At 37.1% G+C, this 12,431-nt stretch overlaps 1 protein-coding gene across 6 annotated transcripts in view; it reads left to right on the forward strand.

The window, feature by feature from the left end:
* The window catches only part of RASA2 (RAS p21 protein activator 2), a 128,318-nt gene that overhangs the window by 20,877 nt on the left and 95,010 nt on the right, over positions 1-12,431 (forward strand). For 4 of the 6 annotated variants that reach the window (NM_001303245.3, NM_001303246.3, NM_006506.5 and 1 more), the window contains exons 2-3: positions 4,260-4,377; positions 8,425-8,528. In NM_001303245.3, coding sequence (NP_001290174.1) covers positions 4,260-4,377; positions 8,425-8,528 — 222 coding nt within the window. Of the gene's footprint in view, positions 1-1,664; positions 1,839-4,259; positions 4,378-8,424; positions 8,529-12,431 lie in introns of those variants that run through there. The other 2 variants (XM_011513059.3, XM_024453691.2) reach the window with 2 other exon arrangements.

A 12,431-nucleotide genomic window follows, 5' to 3' on the forward strand; every position in this document is an offset into this window, starting at 1 on the left:
CTTCTCTGCAGCACAGGAAGACATACACTGAAGGAGGTTGAAATGGATGTGAACAGTAATCTACCATATTTACTGCAGGTTTAGAACCTGGTTCTCCTTAAGGCTGGCTGTCATTAAACGGGCTATAGATAAGTTGAGAAAGTTTATAAATAATACCGTCAAACAATGTTGAGAAACTCATTTGTTTCTTTGTATATTTTTATTGTTTTATAATGACTACATTAAAAAAAAAACTAGAATTTGTCCTTCACCTCTATGATGAATTAAGTGGTCTGTGGATACCGAAAGTTTCCTCACGTTTAAGATGTGGTTAGTGGATAAAAAGACCAAAAGAGGGAGTATAAGAAAAACCCTCATACAAGGTTACCTGAGCTGAGGAAAGGTTAGTGTTGTCAAATAATGAAGAGTGGTCAAATAAGGTGGGACTGAAAAGCAGTGTTACGATTTGGGCACTTAATATTAGTGGTTTTTTGGGTTTTTTTTTTCTTTCTTTACTATTGAGACAGGGTCTTGCTCTTTTGTCCCAGGCTGGAGTGCAGTGGCAGCTCACTGCAACTCCCATCCCCTGGGCTCAAGCCATCCTCACACCTCAGCCTCCCAAGTAGCTGGGACCACAGGCATGCACCACCACGCCTGGCTAATTTTTTGTATTTTTAGTAGAGATGAGATCTCACCATGTTGCCAAGGCTGGTTTCAAAATCCTGTTCTCAAGCAGTTTGCCCACCTTGGCCTCCCAAAGTGTTGGGATTACAGGCATGACCACTGCGCCCAGCCTGTTAGTGTTCTTCAAGGTTCTAAACAAGAAGTAGAGAAGTAGGATAAGAGGGCAAGTTGCAGGTTTAGGCTGTGAGTTGAAGGGAGCACTTGAAAGGAGAGATTATAGAATAAGTTTTCAAGAAATTTGGCAATGGATTTTTTTTTTTTTTGGTCCAAGGCGCATGCTCATTTATATACCAGAATTGGCTAGAGTTCATGAGGCCCTGAACAAATATCACACACAAGCAAGTACAGTCTTCCAAAGTTCTTCACTTTTGTCTTTTTGTGTAGCTTGATGTAAAGTGTGGCTCTTAACATATTCTCTTTATGCTTAGAGATATAATAGGCACAATATTACTTTTATTATATCTGTAACCATTACTTCCTTTTTGATTATGTTGTTTATAAAGTGCCAATTAATCACTACTATAGTTTGGAGTTACAGTATCTGACTTAACATATTTGTACAATTGATTGTTGAGCCGGGCATTGATTAGATGAATTAACTTTCAACAAAGTTTATTTGAACTTCAGTCATTGGTGGATATTTAAGAAGTACAGATTATGATAACTGCTTTTATAGGAAAGGATGCTTGGTACATTTTTTCATATGACATAGATCTTACATTTTTATTTATTCTGGATAAATATCTGATAATGTCAGGTTCATTGGATTCTTCAAAATAACCTCATTGTCTCTCTCTTAAGAGGGAGAGGGAAGTAGAATATGTGTAAATTTATATAATGTTGTTTTCTCAAAACTGCACCTATGTGAATGAAACAGAAACATGTTCAGGGACAGTTAGTGTTTCAAATTCTCCCAATTAGATATGGAGCATATTTATTATGGAGCATATTTATTAAGTAGAAAATTATTATGGTCTAATTCCAAATTTTTTATATTTTAGGTCCTATATTGCGACCTAGTTGGACTTTCGTTTAAAAAAAAGTCTAAATTATGCAGAAGGGAGACGTCAAAGAAAAAGGAGAGACTGAAGAACAAGAAGGCTGAAAGTAATGAAAATAGAATTGCTAGACAGTGTCCTGGAGGGACAAGAGGGAATGGGGTAGAGAGAGCACAGGTAAATGGATGAGCTTTGGATGAGAAGAGGAATAACTAGTCTTTGGAGGAAGAGGAAAATGGATGAATACCGGTTCAGATATAGATTATTTGTCTTAGTGACCTGGTTTATTTGTAAGGACTAACCCATTTTAGGCAGTTAATTAAATTAATCATTTAAAAGGTGAGATTCCTCAATTCTGACTTGAGATGGACCTAAATTTGTTTATTCTGTTTAAGTAGTAACTTTATTTTTTTAGTGACAGATTTAAGAAGTATCTTACTGGTACTATTCCATTGGTTTTCTTATTTCAATTTTATAAATAATGTGTTTACTGAGTTTTTTTATAGGTGCTTCTTAGGTTTCTAATAGACTTCTCTAAAATATATTGGTTTAAATGGCCTTTAAAGTTGATAAGCAGAAAGATACTTGAGTTTATCTAGTCCAAACCTTCATCAGGAAAGCTGTGATTGAGTGATTTGTCTGAAGTCATACAGCCACTTAGTAGCAGAGTAAGAGAGGAATATTGGTTTTATGGTTCTTGGGGTAATGCTGTTTCCCTTATGCCAACTGATTGCATAAGGGAACTAGTGTACTGATTTCAGCGCCCATACTTGTGTATGTCCTTTGAGCTAGAGTATCAAAGGACTTCAAAACTTCAAAACTAGACTTTTTAGGTTATTTAATATTCCTTCAACAAATGTTTCTCAGCTGTCTACCGTATGACAGTCACTGTTTAAGATCTTGAAGATCAACAAGTTCTTGGGCCTCAAGAATGAGGGAACCAAAAAATAAACACTGAATTAAAAATGAACAGAAATTTAGATAATCATCAGTGCTATCAAAGAAACAAAATGGAGAAATAGAATATGGTAGCAGAACTATGTGCTTTAGATAGAATAGTCAAGGAAGATTTCTCTGAGTTAGTGATATTTGAGCTGAGACTGAATGATAAGGCACTCGCCATTGAAGATATCTAGGAGTGTAGCATTCCAGACAAAAGCCCTAAACTTGAACATGGTGTGGCACAGTTGATGAATGAAAAAAACTAAACACTGACCGGGGTTGGGGGAATGGAAGGAGAAGAGATCAGAGAGACCATTAAGTAGGGCTTTGTAGACTGTGGTATAGAAAGATAATTTTATTCTAAGTGAAATGGTGTGGTATTGGAGGAGGAGAGTGAGTGAGTAACCTAAAGAATATGTTTCAAATATCACACTGCTTGATGGAGAATGGATTGTAGGAGGGCCAAAAGTGGAAGCAGGGGCACCAGTTAGGCAACTCTCATGTTTGTTCGAATAAAAGATTGTGGTGGCTTGGACTCGGTGATTCTGGTCAAGGCAAAGAGAACTGGTTGGATTTGGGATTTATTTTGGAGGTCTGCTGGATTTGCTAAGAGACTGGGTATGGGAGTTTGGGGAAATAGAGGATGGTGAGAGTAAGAGAGAAAAATGGTAGACTGGGGAAAGGGCACATCTTGGGGAAAGAAATCAGATGGTTTTTCTGGGACTTGTTAAATTTGAAATGCCTACTGGATATCCAAGGAGACAGTTAAATAGTCACATCTAGTGTTTGTTGAGGAGAGGTTAGACCTGGTGTTGCAGATCTGGGAGGCGTTCGCATTAACACCATATACTGCAGAGTTGGCAAAGAGAAGGAAGAGAAGGTGGTTTGGAATTGAGGCATTGCATGTTTAGAGGTAGCCAGGGGGAGAAGTCAGCAGAGAGCCAGTGACGTAGGAGAAAAGTCAGAAATACTGTGTTGTGGAAGCCAAGAGAAGAGAGCATTTTAAAGAGGGATATTTATGTTCACTTGGGTTAAATCATGCTGCCAGGCCGGGTATGATGAAAACAGAGAAGTGACCGTTGATTTGGCAATGTGGAAGGCATTAGTGTCCTCAGCTAGAGCAGTTTTAGTGGCATGGTGGGGTCAGAAGCTGATTGGAGAGGGTTGAAGAATGAATGGAAGGTAAGAAGAGACAACGACTAGAGATGATGCTTTTAAGAAGTTTTTTTTCCTTTTCTTTTTGTGTGTTTTTTTAAGTTGAGAAATTCCCATCATCGTTTATATGCTGATGGGAATGATCGCTAGAGAGGAAAATTAATGGTGATTTGGGAAAGAAAGATTAATTGTGGAGTAAAGTCCTTGAGGTAGCACTGGTGGAATGGGATAGAGAGCACAAGTAGAGGGATTACCCTTTCATAGGAGTGGGGATGCAATTACGTAATATAAAAAAGGGACCTCAAGCCACTTTACACACAGCCCCTCCCTTCAGTCTTAACAATCTCCTTTAGACCAGCTTGATCTTTCTGTAATCACTAGTGTTTTTTTTTTTTTCTGTGCCACATTAATATGTTCTTTCAGATTGAAGTCATCCTATATAAGGCTTAGTATGAAGCAGTTGATGATATTTAATAACAATTTTAAATTTTATGCCAACAGGTGAAGCAAAAAATTTATTGCCATATCTTGGACCCCACAAAATGAGAGATTGTTTCTGTACCATAAATTTGGACCAGGAAGAAGTTTATCGTACCCAAGTTGTGGAAAAATCTTTAAGGTTGGTAGAAAAAATTGGTAAATTATAATTTTTACTATATAGATTGGTAAATATTATGCATTTTCCAGATTATAATAATCAAGAAGACAAGACAGAAACAGTGCTTGCTTTCATGTGGCTTTTCATTGCCTCAAAATGTATCTTCCTCTTAATTGTTCCTAATTTTATCTTTGTTTTCTGGAGAAAAGTTTTTTCACATGACAGGCTAAATATTGCCTATTCGTTTGAACTTTCCTCAAAGTACATCTTTATTTTATTTATCTAAAGAATAAGTTACTTAAAGTTCATAGAAGTTGCTTAACTTAGTAGTGCATTATCAGGGAATGAATTCTCAGATAGATGTCTCATCTTTGAAAGTGTAATTGCCCTTTGAGAGTATCATATTAAATTCTAATTCATAAAACTGGAATATACCACCTCTGCACCGTAGCAATGTGAACATAATTCTAGTGCAGAGTTGTGCTGAGAATCTTGTTCAGAGACAAAAGTCAAAATAAGGAGGCCGGGCGTGGTGGCTCACGCTTGTAATCCCAGCACTTTGGGAGGCAGACGCGGGCAGATCACTTGAGGTCAGAATTTCGAGACCAGCTTGGGCAACATGGTGAAACCCCGTCTCTACGAAAAATACAAAAATTAGTTGGGCGTGGTGCTGGGTGTCTGTAATCTCAGCTACTTGGGAGGCTGAGGCAGGAGAATCGCTTGAACCCAGGGGTCGGAGGTTGCAGTGAGCCAAGATTATGCCATTGGACTCTAGCCTGGGCAACAAGAGTGAAACTCCATCTCAGAAAAAAAAAAAAAAACAAAAAAACGAAAAACAGGGTGTGGGGTATTATTGGAATGAGCATGTGGTGGATGAAATATTGAATGCCATGCCTTATCTGAATCATATTTTAGGTCAGTTGTATTTTAGGGATCTGTTTTTTTTTTTATGCCTTTAAAAAAATATCTTTCTTTTACATTTGCCTTTGAAGTTTCCCTTTATGTCTTTATTTTCATTTTTTATAATTTTAAATATCTATTGAATTCTTCTTAGAAAAGGTATTGTATAAAACTGAAAATACTTTAGTAGCCCAAAAACATTTCAAGGAGTAAACTTGAAATCTTTAGTCTTAATTCTCATATTGTTCTTATTTGGCTTTAGAATGTACTTTAAACATAATATTTGAATGTGGATGTGATATATAAAGGAAATTCTGCATTTATAATTGTTTAGAAAATAATGCAAAGAGATACATACCTACACATGTCTTGTCTTTCATATCATGTTTTCATATCATATTTGACTAATAGTTCTTTTTGCATTGATTTCTATGTTGAAATTAATTAGAAGGCTCTAGTTACTTTGTGAGACCAACTTTTAAAAGTTTAGTTTGGTTACATTTGAAGGGAAAAATATAGTGACAAAAGTTCACCAGGCATTTTAACAACTAAAAAGCTGAACCAACTGTTTTCTAGACAAGATCAGATATGACTTCTGTAGGAGTATTTTACTTTATATTTCAGCTTCTCATTTAGTTATGACATCATAAAGATACTGCATTTCATAGCGATATTTCTAGAGAATCTTTTTGTTCTTTAAACTTTCTCAGGAAAGAGGTACACTTGACAAAAGAAACTATCATTTCAGAGATTCGCGTCTTCATAGAAGAATCATAGAAGGATAAATATATCAAAATGGCATTCTTAAAATGAACTTATAAAAATAAGCTTTGCAACATGAGGATGGGCAAAGATTTCTTGCTTTGAATGCAAGAAGCACCACTAATTATAAAAGATGAAAATTGGTAAATTAGATTTTATCAAACTTAGAGGCTCCTTTTCTTTAAAAGACACTGTCAAGAAAATTAAATGGCAAGCCACACCTGGGAGAAAGTATTCTGACAAAAGACTTGTATCCAGAATTTATTTAAAAACAAAAACCCTGATAACTCAAAAGAAGACCGATGGCCATTTAAAATATGGGGAGAATACTTAAACAGATATTTCAGAAAAGATATGGCCAAGAGCACATGAAAAGGTATTGGACATTGTTAGTCATCAGGAAATCAATTTAAAACCATTTTTGTCACTATAGATTCTAGAACATAATCTGCAGTGATAGAAATCATATCACTGGTTGCCTGTAAGAATATGGTGGGAGTGATTGCAGAGTCACAAGGGAACTTTCTGGGGAGATAAAAATGTTTTGTATCTTGATTATAAGGTAGAGATTACATAGGTGTATACATTTATCATGTTACATTCACTAGAATAGCTAAAGTTAAAGGCTGTCAGTACCAAGATGTGGAACAACTGGAGCATTGCTGTTAGGGGTGTAAAACAGTACAACCACTTTGAAAACAGTTTGACAGTTTCTTGTAAATTACACATTCACCTGCCTTTTAACTCAGCAGTTGCATTCTCAGTAATCAAAAGCATGTGTCTAGAAAAAGCTTTATATAAGAATGTTCATAGCAGCTTTACTTTTGATAGCCCAAACTGGAAACAACTCAAATAACATCACTAGGCGAATGGATTTGGAATGCAATGGAATACTATGCAGCAATTAAAACAGTTGAACTACTATGTACACAACAACATCGAAAAAATCTCATAGACATTAAGCTGAATGAACAAAGCTGGACATGAGTACATACTATATGATTCTATTTATGTGAGATTTTAGGATAGATGTATAGTGATAGAAAACACATCACAGGTTGGGGCAGGTATGATGGGGTAACTGAAGGAGAGGCATAAGAGAACTTTCTGGGGAGATAGCAGTGTCCTTTATTTTGATTGGGGTGGAAGCTACACAGTTGTATAAATTTATCAGAAGTCATCAACCTCTATACTTTAAATTGGATTTTTATTGTTTGTAACTTATAGCTCAATAAAACTGATTTAAAAATACCTTGTTTTAATTTTTTAAAAATATTTTTTAAAGTTGATTTTAAAATTGCATATTTTAATTTTTTAAAAATAGCTTAATTTAAAAAAAAATTTTGAAGTAGCCTTTCACATAACATTGGCTGTTTTAGGTATTATGTATTGTAAATAATACAGCTTTACACATTTCTAAGACAAGGATGGTATGAATGACACTATCCTCACCTCTCAAATGGTCCACCTTAGGTGAGCATGACCCCAGGCAGTTACTGTATCTTCTATCCACAGGACTGCTGAAAAGCTATTTGTTCAGAACTCATACTGGCAACTTAGATCCCTTCAGTGTTCAGCTTGGTTTGTATAGAACTTAGTTGAAATTTAGCATTGAGAATTATTTTGGGGCTTTTCAAATTCTTTTCAATGGCATTTTAGTCCATAATTTCATTAACTTTATTGAAAGTGATATTATTTGGCCAGGAACATTAGCTCACTCCTGTAATCCCAGTACTTTGGGAGGCTGAGGCGGGTGGATTGCAAGGTCAAGAGATTGAGACCATCCTGGCCAACATGGTGAAACCCCATCTCTACTAAAAATACAAAAATTAGCTGGGCGTGGTGGCATGTGCCTGTAGTCCCAGCTACTCGGGAGGCTGAGGCAGGAGAATCGCTTGAACCTGGGAGCTGGAGGTTGTGGTGAGCTGAGATCACGCCACTGGACTCCAGCCTGGCAACAGAGCAAGACTCTGTCTCAAAAAAAAAAAAAAAAAGTGATATTATCATTCTCAGCAAACTATCGCAAAGACAAAAAAACCAAACACCACATGTTCTCACTCATAGGTGGGAACTGAACAATGAGAACACTTGGACACAGGAAGGGGAGCATCACACACTGGGGCCTGTTGTGGGGTGGGGGGAGGGGGGAGGGATAGCATTAGGAGATATACCTAATGTAAATGATGAGTTAATGGGCGCAGCACACCAACATGGCACATGTATACATATGTAACAAAGCTGCACGTTGTGCACATGTACCCTAGAACTTAAAGTATAATAAAATATATATATATTAAAAAAAGAAAGTGATATTATTTGAGTATTTATACAATTATTATTGAAAGTGATATTAATTATTATTTATTTTATATTATTTGAAGTAATGAGCTTTCCTTTTCTTTCTAGCCCATTTTTCAGTGAAGAATTTTACTTTGAGATTCCAAGAACTTTCCAGTATTTGTCTTTCTATGTTTATGATAAGAATGTTTTACAAAGAGATCTCCGTATAGGTATGTACTATTCATAATTATCTTTAATCACAATGTTAATGTTTATATTCATTCGTTCTCTTAGTATAGTTTTGAAAATTGCAGAATAATATATGCTCAACATCTCTGATCTTTTTCTGTAGACTACATGTTCATTTGTGAAATTTCATTTTTAATTTGTATGTTCAGCTTATATGACACTTTCTCAGGGAGGCCTTTGCAGCTCCCCTAGTCACTATGTCATATGTTTTTATAATTCCTGATGGTTCCCTTTCCATGGTACTCATTATGCTTATTCATTAGTTGGCTGTTTCATATCTAGGTTCTCTAGTTAAATGTGAAATTTAAAAGGGCAGGGACTCTTTTTTTGTTTTTTTTTTTGACACAGAATCTTGCTCTATCTCCCAGGCTGGACTGCAGTGGTGCGATCTTGGCTCACTGCAACCTCTACTTCCCAGGTTAAGCGATTTCTCCTGTCTCAGCCTCCTGAGTAGCTGGGATTACAGGCGTGTGCCACCACGCCTAGCCAATTTTTGTATTTTTAGTAGAAACAGGGTTTCACCATGTTGGCCAGGCTGATCTTAAACTCCTGCAGGAAATCCACCTGCCTCGGCCTCCCAGAGTGTTAGGATTACAGGCATGAGCCACCACGCCTGGCCGGGCAGGGACTCTTTCTTACGGAGCACCTTACACTTAGTAAGTGTTGGGTAAGTATTTGTTTAGTGGTTCAAATAATGTTTTTATAGAAAGATTGCAGTTTTGATCCTTCCAAAGAACATCTGTTGTTGAGGTTTTTCTAATAGAAGTAATAATTCACTTTAATCTATTTATACATTTTCTTCCTGTCTGTATTAGTGACTGTATTAGTCCATTCTCACACTGCCATAAAGACATACCTGAGACTGGGTAATTTATAAAGAATATAGGTTTATTGGCTCACAGTTTTTCAGGCTGTACAGGCTTCTGCTTCTGGAAGGCCTCAGGAAACCTACATGAGTGAAAGGCAAAGGGGAAGCAAGCACATCTTCACATGGCTGGCAGGAGAGAGGAGAGTTGGGATGTGCTACACACTTTTACAATAACCAGATCTCATGAGAACTCACTGTCATGAGAGCAGCAAGGGGATGTCTGCCCCCATGATTCAGTCACCTTATGCCAGGCCCCTCCTCCAACAGTGGGATTACAGTTTGCCATGACATTTTCGTGGGGACACAGAGTCAAACCATATCGGTGACCAATAAATATATTTCTCTTTTTTTTTGAGACGGAGTGTCACTCTGTCGCCCAGGCTGGAGTTCAGTGGCGCGATCTCAGCTCACTGCAAGCTCCGCCTCCTGGGTTCACGCCATTCTCCTGCCACAGCCTCCCGAATAGCTGGGACTACAGGCTCCCACCACCACGCCCGACTAATTTTTTTTGTATTTTTAGTAGAGACAGGGTTTCACCATGTTAGCCAGGATGGTCTCGATCTCCTGACCTCGTGATCTGCCCACCTCGGCCTCCCAAAGTGCTGGGATTACAGGCGTCAGCCACTGCTCCCGGCCAATAAATATATTTCTTAAATAATTGTCAGACTAGAGTGTGATCTGTGGGCATGAACTAGAACAGAGCTAACTGGCCACATATGTGTCACATTCCTGATCTTTGCACCACTATCTTTGTATTTTAATCATAGGCAGAGGTCTAATTTACATTTATTCTCTTTCTTTTTAGTATCCTAAATTTCATCTCCCTTTCCTTTTTTATTTGAAATATGGTCAAGTCTCCTACAGCTTAAAAAATTAAGCATTATTTGGCCAGGTGCAGTGGCTCATGCCTGTAATCCTAGCACTTTGGGAGGCCGAGGTGGGCAGATCACGAGGTCAGGAGTTCAAGACCAGCCTGGCCAATGTGGTGAAACTGTCTCTACTAAAAATACAAAAATTAGCCTGGAGCGGCGGTGCGCACCTGTAGTCCCAGCTACTCAGGAGGCTGAGGCAGAAGAATCGCTTGAATCCGGGAGGCAGAGGTTGCAGTGAGCTGAGGTTGTGCCACTGTGCTCCAGCCTCGGCAACAGAGCAAGACACCATCTCAAAAAAAAAAAAAAAAAAAAAAAAAAAAAAAAAAAATTAAGCGTTGTCTTTGTCCTCTTAACTAACTTCTGATGTTTCTCTGTGTTTGATATTGAACTCCTTAACAAATGGTCTGTGTCAGTCCTCTGCTTGCTACTTATTTCTTTTAAAATCTCTATAATCTGGCTTCTATGTTTTTTTGATAAACCTTTCTTGAAATTTGCCAACATCATTTTAATCAAATAACCTTTAAAACAATATGTTTTTCTTAATTATAAAACTGTTATATGTTCTTAGTATTTGGTAGTGATTCTCTACAGAAATAACTACAGTTAATAATTTGGTGTATTTCTTCCATTCTTTATTTCATACATTTGTATTACTACATTTTATTCAGATTTTTTCCTTTTCAATTAATACCATAGTGATCCTTTCCCCATATCATTAATATTTGTTAAAACTATTTGTTACATAATATCCTTTATAGAAAAGTGTTTTATTTTAACCACATCCTTGTTGGTGAACATTTACATTTCCAAATTTTGGGCATCCTCAATGGTGTTGCTATGAACAAATGTCCTTTGGCATAAATTTTTGCATGTCTCTTTTTCCCCAGGATAAATTCCTAGAAGTGAAAATACTGAGTCAAGGGGTATGAACATTTTTATGATTTCCTCTGTAAATTTCTGTATTGCCCCTCTGCCCCACAGAGTATCATACTAATATGGACGACATAAATGTTGTACTAATTTACATTTCCTCAAAGATGTCATGGGCATAACCATTTTACCACCCCCTGGCCATTCTTGCATATTATCATTGAAAAAAATTTGCCAATATGATAGGTGAAAAATAACACATTATTATTTTAATGTGTGTTTTCTGATTTTGAAGGAATTTGAGGAATTTTTCATATGTTTATTGGTATTTACATTTTTCTTCTGTGAATTGATTGCTCATTCCTTTGCCTATTTTTCTTTTGGTTGGAGTTCTAACATTTATCCTTAAGCCTTCTTATTTTTAGATATGTTAACTTTTGTCAGCTATATACATACCAAATACTCTGTCTCACAAAAGGCATTTTCTTAGTTTTTATTGTTATCTGCCTCTGTGTCACATTTCACTCTCTTGATTGCTTATTCGGTTTGCTGAAAGTGAAAGAAAAGACATTTTCATGGTGGTGTATTTTTTTAGATGTGTTTCTCCCTCTGATGCCTTCTTATATGCAGACTCTTCTGTTTGTAGCAAACTGTTGATTATAGATCACCCTTGAAGCTGTATCCTCAATTCAGTTTAACATTTACCAAACACTTCTCCGTGGCACACAAAGGTTGGGACTTTTAAGATGAGTAAGACTCGTTGCTCATCAGAGAGGCAGACTTCTAGTCTAATACTAATATATTAATACTAATATATTAGGGTCTGTGCTGGAGATATGAACAGAATACTTAGAATAGTAGGGAGAACAGCTCATTTTATTTGGTAGGGGAATAACAGAGACTACATAGGTAGGAAAAAGAAGAACAATTTCTTTTCTTTTTCTTTTTCTCTTTTTTTTTTTTTTTTTTTTGAGATGGAGTCTTGCTCTGTTGCCCAGGCTGGAGTGCAGTGACATGATCTCCGTTCACTGCAACCTCCACCTCCTGGGTTCAAGCGATTCTCCTGCCTTAGCCTCCAAGTAGCTGGGATTACAGGCATGCAACACCACACCCAGCTAATTTTTGTATTTTTAGTAGAGACAGGGTTTCACCATGTCAGCCAGGCTGGTCTCGAACTCCTGACCTCGTGATCTGCCTGCCTTGGCCTCCCAAAGTGCTGGGATTACAGGTATGAGCCACCACGCCCCACCAGGAAGAACAGTTTCAAGGTGACA

This window comes from Homo sapiens, chromosome 3 (genome assembly GCF_000001405.40).
Source record: "Homo sapiens chromosome 3, GRCh38.p14 Primary Assembly".
NCBI lineage: Eukaryota > Metazoa > Chordata > Mammalia > Primates > Hominidae > Homo > Homo sapiens.